We start from the raw sequence: 16125 nt of genomic DNA on the forward strand, positions 1-16125 counted from the left end.
GACGGGGGTCTGGACTCCTGGGTCTGAGGGAGGAGGGGCTGGGGCCTGGACTCCTGGGTCCGGGAGAGGAGGGGCTGGGGCCTGGACTCCTGGGTCCGGGAGAGGAGGGGCTGGGGGCCTGAAACCCTGGGTCTGAGGGAGGAGGGGCTGGGGCCTGGATCCCTGGAACTGAGGAAGGAGGAGCTAGGGGCCTGAACTCCTCGGTCTGAGGGAGGACGGGGCTGGGGACCAGGATGCCTGTGACCTCCACAGCCAAGAACAACTGAGCCTATACACCAAAGCTTTTATTGGGAGTGGGGCAGGGCAGGATTTACAGTCACAGAGACAGAGACACAAAGACACAACCCTGCACTGGGAAAAAACACCCCTGGCTCCTGCCCCATTCCCTTTCATGGGATTCTGTGACTTCTCTATAGGTTCCCCAAATTCTAAGCTGAAAGAGGGGTGTCTGAGAGGGGAAGGATCCCAGATTTTGAGTCATTAAGCCCCTGAGGGACACAACAAATGGCCACTGAGAAACAGGGTAGTTCGAAACCACCCAGGAGAATAAAGTGCGAGGAATTGGGGAGGGGGCATCATGAAACCACCATGGGGGAGTTCAATGGTGGTAGCTTCAAACCTTTGAGTTCATGGACTGGAGCAGCCACTATTTAGACCTGAAAACCATGTCAGAAAAAGTGCACGGGGGTAGAGAGGCATATTGTTAAAATTGCGATTTTGGTTGTTTCCCCAGACATTATGCTAAGCTAGGGAGAAGAGGGTCTTGAGAAATTTGGTGCTTTCGCAGAATCTGCTGGTAGGGGAGATGTGAAGTGGGCACGGAATCGGGGACTTGAAACCGCCATTTTCCATCAGAAACGCTGGTGAGAATCAATCCCTGGAATGGCGGGGACGAGTAATTGGTTAAACCAATCTGGAAGATGCAGAACAGAGTTGGGAGAGATTTGAAACTTCTAGAGGAGGACCTTGAATTTTTCTGAAAGGAGATGGGAGCTGAGTGATCTCAAAGGTTAGCCTGAGAGTCCCTGGAGATAAAGGAAAGCGGGGGGTGTGGGTGCCTCAAAACCACAAGAGAGAGTAAGAGGTCGAACTGTCCATTCAAATAAAGCCCTGAAAGGAGAGATTTGAAACCACTGAGGCAGAACGGGTGGAGAGGGAACCTTTAGGGGAATTTGGGTATCCTTGAAACTGTCAGTCTGCAGCTTCACTACCCCTGAGAGGCAATTGGGAAGGAAAGAGGATTTGACAGCACTGGGAACAAGGGAGAGTGCTTCTTAGGCCTGAGGCAGGACAGAGAGGAGCAGGGTTCCTTGACACTGTCACTCAGGCCAGAGATGAGTGGAATGGAGGTCCTGGAAACTGCCATTCAGTGGGAGGCACATGGTCAGTAGTCCCGGACAGGGGGTGGGGGCCTGGGGGGCTGAAATGTGCTGTGTGTGGCCCCATAGGAGGGCGGGGGTGCAGGGGGTGCCCCCGGGGGCTCAGCCTCATCCTCCATTTCGCTGTCGTCACTGCCAGCCAGCTGGTCATGGCCAACGAAGCCACACTTCTCCTCGCTCATCTCCTCAGGCTCTGCCCACGGCTGCTTCTCTCCAGAAGCAAAGACCCCGTAGAAGATGACACCTCCATAGTGCACCAGGGAGGCAATTAGGAACACGTACTGCCACTCCTCCCGAGTCTGCAGGGGACAATAGGGCTGAGGTCAAATGGGAGGACAGAGAAACAGAGGCGGAGAGAGGGGGAGGCCTAGAGGAAGGGAGGCAGAGACCCAGGGAGGCTGAAAAGGCAGGGATGGCACCCCAGAGACAGTGCCACCACGTGGTCAGTTAGGTACGAAGCACACACTTGGAGGCAGACTGAGTCAGGACTGCGGCACCCACCTTGTGCTTAGTCATGGCCCCCACGATGATGGGGCACACCATGCCCGACAGTGTGCCCACGCCGTTGGAGATGCCCATGAGGATGCTGGCGTAGCGCGGGGCTATGTCCAGGTGGTTCACGTTGAACCCTGGCGGAGAGACAAGTCGGAAGGCGTCACACCGGAATCTCACTCGAGTGATTCCCACTGGGACGTTCTCAACCCTCTCCCCTCCCCGCCACTCATGTTCCACCTTTTGTGAGGCTGAGAGGCCCCGTTCCTGAGCCAGGAAGTTCCCTACAGAGCTGACCAGAGTCCCCCAAGCTGCGGATCCGCGGTTCTCACCAGAGATGGCGAAGCCGCTGAAGCCCACGGCTAGGACCAGGAAGGAGATGGCCACGCCCTTGGAGTGCGAGTAGCCGACCACCAACAGCAGCGTGGCTTCCATGCCGAAGCCTACGGGGGCGGGGGGGGCCCGCGTCTCCTGAGTGTCGGCCGGAGCAAGGCGCAGGCTGCCCCACACCGCCCTTCCAGACCTGCTCCAGCCCCAAACCGCGTCTATCCACCCCAGTCTGGCCACCTCCACGCCCAGGCCTCTTCGCGCCCTCCACGCCACCCGCACCCACCCTAACCAGGCCCCTACTTCTCCAAGACCCAGCCCTGACCACGCCCACCAGCTCCATCGCCCCTCCCGTAGCTCCACCCCTTGACTAGGCCACTCCCCGAACACGCAGGATCCCTGCTGTGCACGCTCACACCTTCCCCTCAATCCCCACTCATGAGTTTTTGGTTTTTTTTTTTTTTAATTTTTGATTTTTTATTTTTTTTAAGAGACAAAGTCTCACGACGTTGCCCAGGCTGGTCTCAAACTCCTGAGCTCAAGTGATCCACCGGCCTTCGCCTCCGAAAGTGCTGGGATAACAGGGGTTAGCCACCATGCCCTGCCTGTTTTTTAATTTTTAATTGTAATTTTAATTTTTCTAGAAACAAAGTCTCGCTCTGTCGCCCAGGCTGGAGTGCTGCGGCGCGATCATAGCTCACTGCGGCCTCGCAGTTCTGGGCTCCAGCGATCCTCCCTTCTCAGCCTCCCAAGTAGATGGGACCACAGGCGCGCGCCACCACGCCTAGCAAATCTCACTTGTTAGACAGCAGGCCCCCTAGGACCCTGTCTCTCCAGGTGCCTTGCTCTTAGCGCCTCTTCATCACCTAGTTCATGTCCTACCACACCCAACTTTGTGCAGGTCTTGTCCCTCCAGGCCCAACTCGGTCTTCTCTCTGCTCCACCCGGGAAGTCTCGCCCACCCTGCCCTTCCGCGCGGTGGCCCCTTGGACGGCCGCGTGACAGTCCCTTTCATCCAGGCCTGCCCTGCCCCGGCTCCACCCTGTTGGCCACGGCCCTTTGCATAGAAAGGGACTCCTGGGGCAGGCTGGATGGTTTCCGCCTGTAACCACTCCCCATCACCTCTCAATCCGGCTCTGCTCCACCCAGGCTGTCCTAGAGCCGGCCCAGGCCCCGCCCCACTCACCTCCGCAGTTCATCAACTTGCGCACGTTGGTGGTGGACATGATGCGGCGGCTCCGCAGGAAGTCCGCGATCTGGCCGCCGATGGGCACGATGATGGTCATGACCAGGTGGGGCAGCGCGGACACCAGGCCTACCTGCGGGAACAGGTGTACAGGGACACTAGGGTTCGGGGCCGCCGGCTCGGCGTCTCTGCCCGGTCCGTGCACCACCGGCTCCTCCCTGCCTCGGGATCGCCGCCAGTTCCCTCCCGCCGACCCCTCCGCGCCCCCCTGCCCTCTCCTCCTGGGCTCTACCTTGCTGATCTCGAAGCCGAACACTTCTTCGAAGTAGGCGGGCTGGGAGATGAGCAGCAGGTAGAACGTCCAGCTGCGGCAGAAGTTGGCCACGATGATGGCATAGACTGGCATAGACGTGAAGAAGCGCCGCCAGGGAGTGCTAAACTTCTGTGGGGGCGAGGGGAGGGCCGCTAAGACGGGGAGCGGGGCTGAGGGCTTCTCCGCGTCCCTTCAGGGACCACAGTGTAGTTCTGCAGAAACCAAAGGATCCCGACCGCACTGAAACTTCTATGGACCCAAAGGCGCGGGCTACACCATGTTGCCGTGGGGACCCAGGGATCCTAGCCTCAAGGTGACACTTGAGTGATGAAGGGGTCCTGGCCCTATGGTAGCCTCTCAGGTCCGCAGGTGTCCGGGCCCCTCAGGGACCTGTCTTTTTCTTTTTTTCTTTTTATTTTTACTTTTTGTATTTTGTATTTTGAGTAGAGACGGGGGTTTCGCCATGTTGCCCAAGCTGGTCTGGAACTCCTGGGCTCAAGCGATCCTGCAGCCTCCACCCCCAAAGTGTTGGGATTGCAGGCGGAAGCCACTGAGCCTGCCCTAGGAGTCTCTTTTTATCAAAAATGCTCCCAAAATACAGCCTCAACTCAAGGTCTAAGCAAAACCCCCACATTCTAATCCCTTCTCTGCTGGCTTTAACTATGCCCTGTCAGTGGTTCTAATCCTGCTCAACTCCCGACCTAACCCTGCCCCCAGCACCTGAGAATCTCGTCCTCCGCGGGTTGCAACCCGCCTCCTAGGTTCTAGCCCCTCTCTTTGCGTTCCAGTCCCGTCTCCTCTAGAGTCTGCAGGAACCGTCCCTGATCTACACGCTGTGCAGGTTCGTGGCTTGCTATCTCTCCCCGCCCCTTCCCCGAAGATTTGGTCCCGGACCGTGAGGGGGTTCATGAGTTTCGCGCTCTCTCCGATGGCGTCCTCGATGTACTTGCGCTCCTCCTCCGAGATGCTGGGGTGCAGCGCGGGGGACTCGTAGGAGACGAGCAGCCAGAACAGGTACCAGAAGATCCCGAAGCTGCCTGGGGGGGTCAGGAGGGGGATGGGAGCGAGGTGAGGACCGGCCCCGCTCCGCCCCAGCGCCACCCGGAACCAGGCATCCGGGTCCCTCACCGTAGACGTAGAAAACAGAGCTCCATCCTGAGTACTGCACAAGGACCCCGGCGAGGGGCATCGCGACCACCGCCCCAGCATAGGAACCTAAGGGGGAGGATGCGGGGGAGAGAACAGGCCCATCTTCCCTCAGATCAAGGAGTGCGGACCCCCACCGCTTCCCCCTTTCCAGACACTGAATTACAGGCCACAGCCCCTCCTCCCTTAGACCCAGGAATCCAGGCCTAGCCCCTCCTCGCTCGGACCCAGGAATCCAGGCCCCCAGCTCCTCCTCCCCCAGACCCAGGAGTCCAGGCCCCCAGCTCCTCCTCCCTCAGACCCAGGAGTCCAGGCCCAACCCCTCCTCTCTCAGACACAGGAGTGCAGGCCCCCAGCTCCTCCTCTCAGACCCAGGAGTGCGGGCCTCCAGTCCCTCCTCCCTCAGACCCAAGAGTCCAGGCCCCCAGCCCCTCCTCTCTCAGACCCAGGAGTCCAGCCCCAGCCCCTCTTCCCTCAGACCTGGGAGTCCAGGTCCAGAGTCTCCTCCTCCTCCCTCAGACACAGGAGTTCAGCCCCCCCAGCCCCTCCCCGCTCAGACCCAACAGTCCAGGCCCCAACCCCTCCTCCCTCAGATTCAGGAGTGAGGATCCCTCTTCCTCTCACCACAAAAGGCTGTCGTCGCCAGGCGACTCCGTTCTAAGGGTGGGGCCCATTTGCTCCAGATCCCATGGCAGGCGGGGTATGTGACCCCCTAAAGAGGAGAAAACCAAGGTCACTGAGAAGAGGCAGGGTCCGAGCGAGGGCAGGGTCATATCAGGCGGGGATTTACCTCTACCAACCCCTGCAGGATCCTCACGAAGATGACACAGCCATAGTGGACGCGGGCAGCTGAGGGGATCAGCATGTTTAGAGTGGATGTTGCCACAATAGCAAAGCCGAAAACTCTGATGGGAAGGGTCAGAGAAAAGAATCCAAGCTATCCAGCCATGCCCGGGATTCTGCCTTTCCCGCCCACAGCAAGCTAGGCCCAGTGGTCCCCGGGACCCCAGGTCCCACCACCTCTCTGACTTACACCTTCCTCAATCGCAAGCCCCACCTTTCTCTAAGACCCACCCCCAAATCCAGGCTTCTCCCATTTACCAGAGCCAGCCCGCAAATTCAAGACCACGCCCTCTAACTCCACCCACACAACTGTAGTTACCGCCCACTTTGAGACCCCACCACTGTACCTGTTGGCTGCAAATTTTTGACAGATAAATCCTCCTGGAATCTGAGTGACAATGTAGCCCCAGAAAAAGGAGCCGTGTATGAGGCCGACAGTCTCTGGATCCCAGCTGAACTGGGCTTTCTGCGGGCCAAAATGTACATTAAATCAGCCGCCCTGTCCAGGCTCTGCCGCTCCACCAATCAGCACCCACAGACTTAGCGTCTCGACCTATCAGCAACGAGGAACCCCTCCCACCTCCAAAAGCCTGCCAATCAAAGCTCACACTATCTTTCTGTCAATTAAAGTCTACAAACTCCGCTCTTCCACGTTGCTAGGGCCTATGCTGCCTTAACAACAGAGTCCATCACCACCTAGACGCCTTGCTTTGCCTGCTTCCTTGCCTCCATGAAAGCCTAGGGGCCCATGTATGATGATGACTCTCTCCACTTATATCCAGCTTATGAGCGTTTGCGGAGTGACCTGCACAGGGTCCAGGCGGGGACACGAAGCAGCCAAGGGGGCGGACCAGATTGGAAGGGAGCAAGGGGAGGAACTTCAGGTAGGACAAAGGCACAAATCAGGACTCTTTTCTGATGCAGGGGCAAGGCCTATGCTGAAATTAAAATAGGAGAAAGGACAGGGCACGGTGGCTCACGCCTGTACTCCCAGGACTGGGAGGCCAAGGCAGGAGGATCGCTTGAGCCCAGGAGTCCGAGACCAGCCTGGGCAACATAGTGAGACCTTGTCTCTACAAAGATAAAAATAAAAATGTTAGCTGGGTATGCCGGCGCACGCCTGTAGTCCCAGCTGCTCAGAAGGCTGAGGCAGGAGAGTCACTTGAGCCCAGGAGTTCGAGGCTGCAGTGATGGTGCCACTGCACTCCAGCTTGGGCGACAGAGCAATGGCCCCACTGCACCGTAGCCTGGGAGACCCTGTGGGTCTTTAGATAAGGGACACAACACATGCAGTGGGACGTAGGCAGTGGCAGGGTTTCAAAAAAGGATCACATTCAGGGAGGAACCTGAGATGGGACTGAGATTAAATAGATGTGACCCGGGGACATGAGCTTGGGGTACAGGCGTGAGCAAAATTGCTAGTAGGTCCAAAATGGGGCAGGGGCAACCCCTAGGGAACCTGATGTTGGGGCGGACTCTACATTTTTCAATCAAGCCCCTGGAAATAAGGGCGGGACTTCATTTAGATCAGGACGGGGCTTAGGAAACGGAGGCGGCCCCTAAGGCGAGGTCAGAACTAAGGGGCGCACGGATTGGGCGGAGCTATTCCGACAGCGTTTCGGAAGGGGCGTGGCCTGGACGTCTGGTGGGTGAGTGTGACGTCATGGGGGCGTAGGCGGAGCTCGGTGAGCGGGGCGGGGCTCTGCAAGGGCTCAGGCCTTGAGCTACCTGCACCACCACGTGGCCCCCGCGGTGGGTCGTGCTGTTATTGACCATGGAGACGATGGCCACGCCCAGGTTGCAGCGGATGCCAAAGCTGATGCAGAAGCCCAGACCACTCATGATGGCGATAATGTAGCGGCGAGGGAGGCCGAAGCAGGTGCAGTCCACCACCGGCGGGTCCCGGGTCTGCGTGGTCACCGGGCGCCCATCCGCACTCAGCTCCAGCGTCTCCGCGCCTTCCTGCCGCTTCTCCAGAAGGCTGCGGGACAGCAAGAGCCAGAGACTCGGAAGTCCAGGCCCCCAGCCCCCTCACCCCCAAGACCAGGATCCAGGGCAAAACCTGCTTTTCAACATCCAGAATTCTAAGCCCGCACCTCCTCCTTCACCAAGAGTCCAGGTCCCTGGCTCCCTTCGCCCCCCTGATCCAGAAATCCTCCATCTCCCTCAGACCGGGAATTCAGGCCCCCAGCCCCCTCCTTCTTCACATTGACGGTCTTCAGTCCCCCTCTCCCAGCTCTGTCAAATCCTTCAACTCAGGAGACTTAGACCCCAGACAACCCTTTGGGATTCAAGAGCCTGTGCCCCCACTCCGAGGCCCAAAGACTCTCCAGCCGCCTCTCCCGGATAAGAGTCTATTCGAGGAAGCAAAAGGTGCTAAGGAGATGCTTCAGCAAAGGTGTCAAAAGAACAGATGCTTCTCAGCCACGTTTGCTAGGGGGTGGGGAGATGTCCAGGACCCTGGGAATCCAGCAGCCCGTCCCAGGCATCCCTAGGGAACCTTGAGTCCAGGCTGCCAGCCTAGGGGGTAGGGAGGGGGAGTGGCGGGTGGTGTCCTGGCAGGGGACAGATGGCCCTGGTAGGGGGATTGGCTCATTCCCCAGCGTGACTCTCGCCCCCGCCCGTTCTGGATCCAGAATCAAGTCTGTGATGACGAAGAGGGTATTTGGAGGGCTGCCTCAAACCCAGAGAGAGGCTGCAGAGAGAGAGAGGTGCCTTCAGACAGGTGGAGAAAGACCCAAAAAGAGGGTGACAGAGATGGGGGGAGTTGTACAGAGGCCCAGAGAGAGGGGGTCACAGACAGAAGAAGGGAGAGAGATCCAGTGAAAGGGGGACAGAGATCTAGAGAGGAAGAGACAGAGACCCAGAGAGAGGGAGAGAGAATAACAAGGGAGCAGAGACCCAGAGAGAGAAGGGGACAGAGACCCAGAGATACAGGGGGACAGAGACCCAGAGACATAGTGGGACAGAGACCCAGAAAGAGGGGGACAGAGACCCAGAGAGAAAGGGAGACAGAGACCCAGAGAGAGAGGAACAGAGACCCAGATAGAGAGGGGGACAGAGACCCAGAGAGAGGGAGAGAGAATAACAGGGGAGCAGAGACCCAGAGAGAGAGGGGGACAGAGACCCAGAGATACAGCGGGACAGAGACCCAGAGACATAGCGGGCCAGAGACCCAGAAAGAGGGGGACAGAGACCCAGAGAGAAAGGGAGACAGAGACCCAGAGAGAGAGGAACAGAGACCCAGATAGAGAGGGGGACAGAGACCCAGAGATGGAGGGGTCAGAGACACAGAGGATGACAGAGACCCAGAGAGAGGGAGACAGAGACCCAGAGAGAGGGGGAGAGAGACCTAGAAATAGGGGGACAGAGACCCAGAGAGGGAAGAGATGGAAACCTAGAGAAGGAAGCAGACAGAGTCCCAAAGAGAGGCGGGGACAGAAACCCAGGAGATAGAACATAGATGCAGAGAGATGAGAACAGAGATCCAGAATGCAAGAGAAAGATGGAGAGCCTGGGAGACGGAGGATAGACAGGCTGGGGACGTGATTTGTGAGGTGCAGCCCCTCTCTGAGGTGGGTAGGCAGCCAGGGGATCGGGCTGGATCCCAGGAAGGGGCTGGAACAGATGGAGGCGAGGGAGACTGGGACGGGGGAGGAAGGAACAGCCAGACGGTCCAGGGGGAGGGAGGTGGAAGAGCTGTGAGAACACAGCAACCCCTCCCCATCCTAGAACTTAAGGAGGTGGGGAGGGGCAGTTAAGAAACAGGGGTGGGAGAAGCCAGGGAGTGGACAGAACCCAGAAGGAGTAGGAATGAGACCCCAAGAGGAAGAAGACAGAGAGCCAGAGATAGGGGGGATTGAAGCCACTAGGACGAATAGTACAGGATGGCAGTAACTCCCCCCACCCATCAGAACCCATCACCCAAAGAGATTAGACTGACCCAGGTTGACATCGGATGATATTTGACCCTGAAACTCAAGATGTGATTGCAGCCCCTGATGTGAGATTCCTTGTTAATATGAGGAGATGTCAGATCTCTAATCAAGGCTGTCTAAACAGGGGGTCTCAGTATCCCACATCTATAAAATGGGACAAGGGCAAAAATGCAAGAGAATAAAGAGGGAACTTCAAGGTGATATCAATCATTTTAGAGCAAGAGGACCAAGGACACAGAGATGAAGGTGGCCCTGATGCTTTGCAGGGGACAAGGACAGAGAAGGGAGACCCTAGATGTAAATCCCCCTCCCCTCCCTGGATACCCCAAACTCAGGCCTGGGGACTTGGCGATGAGGAAAAACAACACTTAGGAGGCCATTACCCCAAATTGAGATGTCTCAACTTCTCTGTCTCTCCCTCTCTCTCTCTCTGCTTCTCTCAGGATCTCTGTCCACTCCCCCACGTCTTTGTCTCCTTATGTCCCTCTGCTCTCTCTTCTCTTCCCATTGTACAACTAAGGAAACTGAGGCTCGGGGAGCTGAAGTGGCACTCCAAGGTCACAGACAAGAACAGCAATGGGACCTGATCCCTTACTGGCCCTCGGCATCCCCCTGCCCAAGACCTGGCTCTCAGAAAGGAGGCACCTTGGGTTCTCATCTCTCTGGCATCCCATTCCCCCATGTCCTTGTTCCAAGTCACCCTGGGTGCAAGGAAGCTCCCCACCAGCTGTGGCATCACTCTTCTCAAGGAAGAGCTCTGTTCTAGGCTTGGGAGGGAGACTGACCTGGGTTCAAATCATGGGGCTCATACTCATCCACTGATCTCCCCAACCCCAGAATGGAGCCTCAGTTTCCCCATCTTTGTCTAGAGGATTAAATGAGATCAACCTGTTGTCTCTAATATGGGGTATTCCCCTCTCCCTCCAACCATCAGAGCAAACCCCAGGCATTGGAAGCAAATGCTTTTCTCTGCACAAACTCCCTGCTGATGGTCCTGGCCAGAGCCCGGGGGTCTCTGGGGACCCAAGAGGTAACTCAGAGAGTGAGAGCCAGAGAGATTGACTGTGAGAAACCCTAGCACAGATGAGAAACAGAGGCAGAGACTGAGGGAGGGGCCTGAGGAATACATCCCTCCCGCTGCCACCCCCCAGCCCCCTCCACCAGCACGTCTCTTTCTCTCTCTCTCATTCTCCTGACTTCACACTGATGTATTTTGAGAAACTCGTGAAAGGAGGCGAGAAAAAGGGTGGGGAGGGGCTGGAAAATTGGAAAAAGAAGGGGTGAGGTTATCTCAGCTTCCCCTCCACCACCAACCTCCGTCACTGCACCATCCTCCTGCCCACCTCCCCCCACTTCTGTCCAGCCTTATTCTTGTCTCTCATGTTACTAGAGGGTGGGGTAACTTTGGAGCTAAGAGGTGATCTGCAGCAAGCAAGACTGATGTTAGACTTAGCAAAGGACCCCCATGGCCTAGCGAGGTGGACTGAAGCTCAGCGAAACACAGGGTCAGGGCTGTGGGCCAAGGGGACAGGGCCTGAGGGCACGGCGGCAGGGGCATGGTGCTGATGAGGCCATCTCCTTCGTGCACTGTGGCCAGATATATTTTTAGGCTTTTCCGCAGCTGAGTAATTTATCTGACTTAGAGCCAAAGCTGGGGTTGGGGGTGAGAGCCTGTGGGGAGGTGTCCAGATTATCCTGAGGGACACTCGGTTCACTGGGGTCATCAACCTGGTTGGGAGGGAGTCCCTGTCAGCCCCAGCCTGTATCCTTTGGGAAGGCTGTCCTACCCCAGGAGCCGAAATTTTTGGCCTCTAACTCCTTTCTCTCCCAGGGACCCAGGGTGCTGTGACTTCTTCCACCCAGCCTCACCCCCTCAAGGACAACGGGCTATGAGCCCCAATCCGCTTTAGCTGCAGATTAAACTCCATGCCAGACAGAAACGGAAAAAGACACAGAGAGACGGAGAGACCCATGGTGGGAGAATTAAAACACAGAGACGGGGACAGGGACCCAGAGAAGTGGGGACCAGAGATCCAGGGAAGAGGAGAGACCCAGAAAGAGGGGGACAGAGACTCTGAGTCAGGAGTTGATAGAGATCCAGTGAGAGCAATGGCCAGAGAACCAGAGAGAGGGGCACAGAGACGCAAAGAAGCGGAGGCAGAGATCTAGGGAGAAGGAGGGGCCCAGAGAGAAGGGAGCCGAGATCTGGAAAAAGAGGGAGACGGAGACCCAGAGAGAAAAGGGGCAGAGACATCCAGAAAGAGACGGGGACAGAGACCCAGAAGTGGTGGGGGAGGAGCCAGAGACCCGGGAGAGAGGCATTTACAGCACCAGAGAGAGTGGAGCCGGGTGGGGTGGGGTGCAGAAAAAGGAACAGGATAATGGACAAGGCTCGACCAGGGAGAACAGCGCCGTCGGAGCCCACGGCAGAAAACTGGACAGATGGGTGGACCCCCATGCCGGGGTATCGCCCGTTCATCTGTCAGTCTGCGCCCAGGTGGGAATTAGCATCCTCCTCAGATCCTCCCACTCTTCTCCCGGGACCCCCGCCAGGCTCACCGGTGCAGCTTCCCGAGAGCACGACCCGCTAGCTTCCGAAACTCCTCCTGGCGGAACTCCATGGTGGCGGCTCCTGCCGCCGGTCACCCCGCGGGTCCCCCCCGCCGATCCCCCCGCCCGCGGGCCCGGGCGGCCGCGTCCGGGTTCCCGGGGTCCAGCCCCGGCCCGGCCGGCCCCGCAGCTCCGCTCGGGGGGAAGGAGGCTGCAAGTGCAGGCGGCCCGGGGGCTGTCACAGGACTCAGCGCCGGGGGCGGGGCGCGGGAGGCCCCGCCCCGGCCCCACCAGGCCCCTCCCCTCGTCTGTCAGACCCGCCCCCTCTCGCAGCCCTTTCATCCTCGTCCTGTCCCCTCCTGAGCCTTCCAAGACCACGCCTGTGGGTTCTGAACTCACGCCTCCGAGTTCACGCCCCCCAATTCTGTTCCTTCCCCAGGCTACTCCCCCTATCCCTGTTCCATCACCCCTGGCTCCTACCCAGATTTTCTCTCCTCTCCTGAGTTCTCATCCCCATCATTTCTCTCCCCGACTTCTGTTCCCCCTAATTGCGTCCCTTACAATCCTGTCTTCTCTGACTTTCCCTCTGCGTTCATCCTCCAGTTCCTTCACTCCTCCCCGCCCCCACCCCGCAATTCCATCCCCATCCCACCTCGTCCCCAGTTCCAATAGTCTCATCCAGGGAGTTCTTTGTTTTCTCATTCAAGGGAAATTCTTTCCCCTCAAGTCCAACGCCTACTTCGATCCACCTGTCGTCCCCCTCTAGTCCCTTTCGCCACCCGGGTTCTTCACCCTTGAGCTCCATCTCCTCCTTAGTTTCCATCTTTCCCCTTTGAATCCCATACTCCTCCAGCTCTATTCTCCCTCCGGCGTCTCTCTCCTCCCTGTTGCTTCTCTCCCTGAGTTTCATTCCCTAACCCCGATTTTCTTCCCTCTGGCTTCCGCCCCCCACAGTTATATTTCACACACCCCGCCAGTGCCAGCTGCGACCCCATAGTCTCCCCATTGTGTTATTTCTCTGCTCCTCTGGGATCTGTCCGCGCTCTGAGTTCTTCCCTAGCTCCGGGGGATCCATTCCTCTATTTGAGTTCTGTCTCCACCCCCTGAGATCTGTCCCGCCCCCTAAATTGTGATCCGCACCCCCTGGCATCCTCACCCGCCCTCTGAATTTGTCTCCTCCCCTAGGATCTGTCGCTGACCTGAGTTCTGCCCCCGCCCTCTGAGTTCTCTCCCCACCGTTGGAGTTGTGTCCCCTTCTCCTAGGATCTGTCCCTGGCTCTGTTCCCGCCCTCTCAGTTCTGTCCTTGCCCCCTGGAATCTGTTCCTGCCATCTGAGTTCTACCCCTTCCCCACAGGATCTATCTCTGCCCCCTGGAATCTGTCCCCACCCACCGAGTTCTGGCCTCCGTCCCTGGGATCTGTCCCCGCCCTCTGTGTTCTACCCCTGCCCCATGGGATCTGTCCCCGCCCACCCAGTTCTCCCCGCCCCCTGGATCTCTCCCTACCCTCCCAGTCTTGCCCCGGCCCCATGGGATCTGTCCCCGCCCTCCGACTTCTGACCCTCGCCACTGGGATCTGTCCTCGACCTCCCAGTCCTGCCTCCGCCCCCGGAATCTGACCCCGCCCACCGAGCTCTGGCCTCCGCCCCTGAGATCTGTCCCCGCCCTCCCAGTCTTGCCCCTGCCCCATGGGATCTGTCCCCCGCCCACCGCCTCCGCCTCTGGGATCTGTCCCTGCCCTCCCAGTCCTGCTCCCACCCCCGGAATCTGTCCCCGCCCACCGAACTCTGTCTCCACGCCGGAATTCCAGCGCCGCCCCGTTGGGTAGAGCCCGGCCCTTCCCTGTCCTGGGCCCGCAGACAGGGTCCCGCCCCGCTCCTGTCCTCAGACCAGCCCATCTCCCGGCGCTGAGTCCACCTCCAGATCCAGGCCCCAGGAGGGTGATCCTTTCCCCACTACCTCCCCGCGTCGGGCCGCAAATGCATTTGGTATTAAATTTTCATGATGCGGCCCGCGGTGGGGTGGGAGGAGCAGACGGCGCGTCGGGCGGGCGCCAAGGACGGGGTGGCCGGGAAGCCACTGACCGCCGCAGCCTCTCGCTTCCAGCCTTGACTGGCTGTGTCTCTGGGTCTCACAGCTTTGAGAAACCCCTGGGACCCCAGAACGGAGGACGCTGCGGGTCTGAGGCAGGAGGGAGGTAGGAACTGGGACTCGTGGGGCTGAAGTAGCAGCGCGGGAGCCGCTCACACGCGCCACCCAGTGGCTGCAGAGTCCCCGGCCCGGGTGCGGAGGCGGTGGTTGCGGCTTGGGGCCAGGTGTGAGGGTGGAGCAGATGGTGAAGAGGAGGGAGTGGGAAGCGGGCCCCGCCGCTGCCAAAACTTGGGCCTTTGCCGAAACCATCGCCATGGAAACCGAGGAAGGAGGAAAGGACTCAGCCGCACACTTTTTCAGGACCTGGGAATGAGTTACTCGGCCCCCTCCAGCGGCTCACCGTCCCAACCACAAGTCCCAGCGGCCTCTGAGCCTCAGCGCTCGTTTGAGAAGGGCCGCGCACTCCGAGGGCCGCTGGGAGATGTAGTTCTCTGAGACGATGGGCAGGGAAAGGTTGCGCCCTCTGGTGGACACGGCGCCCACGTTCGCTCATCCGTTCCGCGGCCGGAAAGACCCTACCTGAAGTCACTCCCACCCTGACCTCTTCCCCGTCTTTTCTCCCCCTCCCTCACAATTCACCCCATTGCAGACACATTGTGCTTGCCTGCCTGCCTTTTCTTTCCTTCCTTCCTCTTCTTTCTCTTCTTTTTTCTTTCCTTCCTTCATTCCTTCTTTCTCTGTCTTCCTTCCTTTCCCCTTCCTCCTTCCTTTTTCTTTTTTTCTTTCCTTCCTTCATTCCTTCTTTCTCTGTCTTCCTTCCTTTCCCCTTCCTCCTTCCTTTTTCTTTCTCTTCTTTTTTCTTTCCTTCCTTCATTCCTTCTTTCTCTGTCTTCCTTCCTTTCCCCTTCCTCCTTCCTTTTTCTTTCTCTTCTTTTTCCTTCTTTCTTCCTTCTTTCCTTCCTTCCTCCTTTCCTTCCTCCCTTCCTTCCTTTTTGAGACAGGGTCTCACTCTGTCGCCCAGGGGCAGCTCACTGCAGTCTTAACCTCCCTGGGCTCCCACCTCAGCCTCCCGAGTAGCTGAGGACAACAGGTGTGCACCACCATGCCCCACTAACTCACATTGTGCTTTGAGCATTTACCACTGAAGTTCCTCCATCTACTGATGATCCTAGGATTCACTAAAGAAGAGGAGGGTATAGACCATCACTTTTTTTTTTTTTTTTTTTTTTTTGAGATGGAGTTTCGTTCTTGTTGCCCAGGCTGGAGTGCAATGGCGCCATCTGGGCTCACAGCAACCTCCGCCTCCTGGGTTCAAGCAATTCTCCTGCCTCAGCCTCCCTAGTAGCTGGGATTATAGGCGCTTGCCACCACGCCAGGCTAATTTTGTATTTTTAGTAAGAGACGGGGTTTCTCCATGTTGGTCAGGCTGGTCTCAAACTCCCGACCTTGGGTGATCCGCCCGCCTTGGCCTCCCAAAGTTCTGGGACTACAGGTGTGAGCCACTGTGCCCGGCCTCAACAATCACTTATTAACTCAAGAAATATTTATCAAGGCAGGGCGCTCCTGTAATCCCAGCACTTTGAGAGGCTGAGGAGGGCTGATCACTTGAGCTCAGGAGTTCGAGACCAGCCTGGGCAACAGATGGAGACCCCGTCTCTATAAAAAATATTTAAAAATTAGCTGGGCATGGTGGCACCTGTAGTCACAGCTACTTGGGAGGCTGAGGTGCAACCATCACTTGAACTCGGGAGGTTGCAGAGTGAGTCAGGATTGCACCACTGCACTCCAGCGTGGGCCTAAGAGCCAGACTCTGTCAAAAAAAAAAAGAAAGAAAGAAAGAGAGAGAGAAAGGAAGGAAGGA

At 57.9% G+C, this 16125-nt stretch overlaps 1 protein-coding gene across 1 annotated transcript, besides 4 other annotated features; it reads right to left on the reverse strand.

The window, feature by feature from the left end:
* Nucleotides 1-266: 266 nt before the first annotated feature.
* SLC17A7 (solute carrier family 17 member 7) lies at nucleotides 267-12393 on the reverse strand. Its single transcript, NM_020309.4, has 12 exons — nucleotides 12184-12393; nucleotides 7415-7667; nucleotides 6034-6152; nucleotides 5634-5748; nucleotides 5468-5555; nucleotides 4826-4912; nucleotides 4592-4734; nucleotides 3677-3826; nucleotides 3385-3517; nucleotides 2204-2314; nucleotides 1881-2008; nucleotides 267-1678 (listed from the first exon to the last, which is right to left on the reverse strand). The coding sequence occupies exons 1-12, from the start codon at nucleotides 12243-12245 to the stop codon at nucleotides 1385-1387; spliced, it is 1683 nt and encodes a 560-aa protein (NP_064705.1). The 5' UTR covers nucleotides 12246-12393; the 3' UTR covers nucleotides 267-1384.
* Nucleotides 2078-2372: a silencer, noted in NCBI's record as "tiled region #4016; K562 Repressive DNase matched - State 1:Tss". NCBI's record gives its function as "represses a minimal TATA promoter and a strong SV40 promoter by Sharpr-MPRA in K562 cells {active_cell/tissue: K562}" and the evidence as "EXISTENCE:reporter gene assay evidence [ECO:0000049][PMID:27701403]".
* Nucleotides 2898-3470: an enhancer, noted in NCBI's record as "H3K27ac-H3K4me1 hESC enhancer chr19:49935289-49935861 (GRCh37/hg19 assembly coordinates)". NCBI's record gives its function as "activates a minimal SCP1, AML or CMV promoter by ChIP-STARR-seq in naive H9 embryonic stem cells {active_cell/tissue: H9 hESC(naive)}" and the evidence as "EXISTENCE:reporter gene assay evidence [ECO:0000049][PMID:30033119]".
* Nucleotides 3471-4042: an enhancer, noted in NCBI's record as "H3K27ac-H3K4me1 hESC enhancer chr19:49935862-49936433 (GRCh37/hg19 assembly coordinates)". NCBI's record gives its function as "activates a minimal SCP1, AML or CMV promoter by ChIP-STARR-seq in naive H9 embryonic stem cells {active_cell/tissue: H9 hESC(naive)}" and the evidence as "EXISTENCE:reporter gene assay evidence [ECO:0000049][PMID:30033119]".
* Nucleotides 14687-14796: an enhancer, noted in NCBI's record as "active region_14938". NCBI's record gives its function as "activates an Ori minimal core promoter by ATAC-STARR-seq in GM12878 lymphoblastoid cells {active_cell/tissue: GM12878}" and the evidence as "EXISTENCE:reporter gene assay evidence [ECO:0000049][PMID:35858748]".

Source organism: Homo sapiens, chromosome 19 (assembly GCF_000001405.40).
Source record: "Homo sapiens chromosome 19, GRCh38.p14 Primary Assembly".
Classification (NCBI taxonomy): Eukaryota; Metazoa; Chordata; class Mammalia; order Primates; family Hominidae; genus Homo; species Homo sapiens.

Excerpts from the sequence above, each read along its gene's own strand:
- SLC17A7 (NM_020309.4), bottom strand. The coding sequence starts at position 12,245 with ATGGAGTTCCGCCAGGAGGAGTTTCGGAAGCTAGCGGGTCGTGCTCTC. Across the intron at positions 3,827-4,591 it reads AACTCATGAACCCCCTCACG|AAGTTTAGCACTCCCTGGCG; the intron begins GTCCGGGACCAA and ends TCGCCCCCACAG. Across the intron at positions 2,315-3,384 it reads CAAGTTGATGAACTGCGGAG|GCTTCGGCATGGAAGCCACG; the intron begins GTGAGTGGGGCG and ends CCGCCCCCGTAG.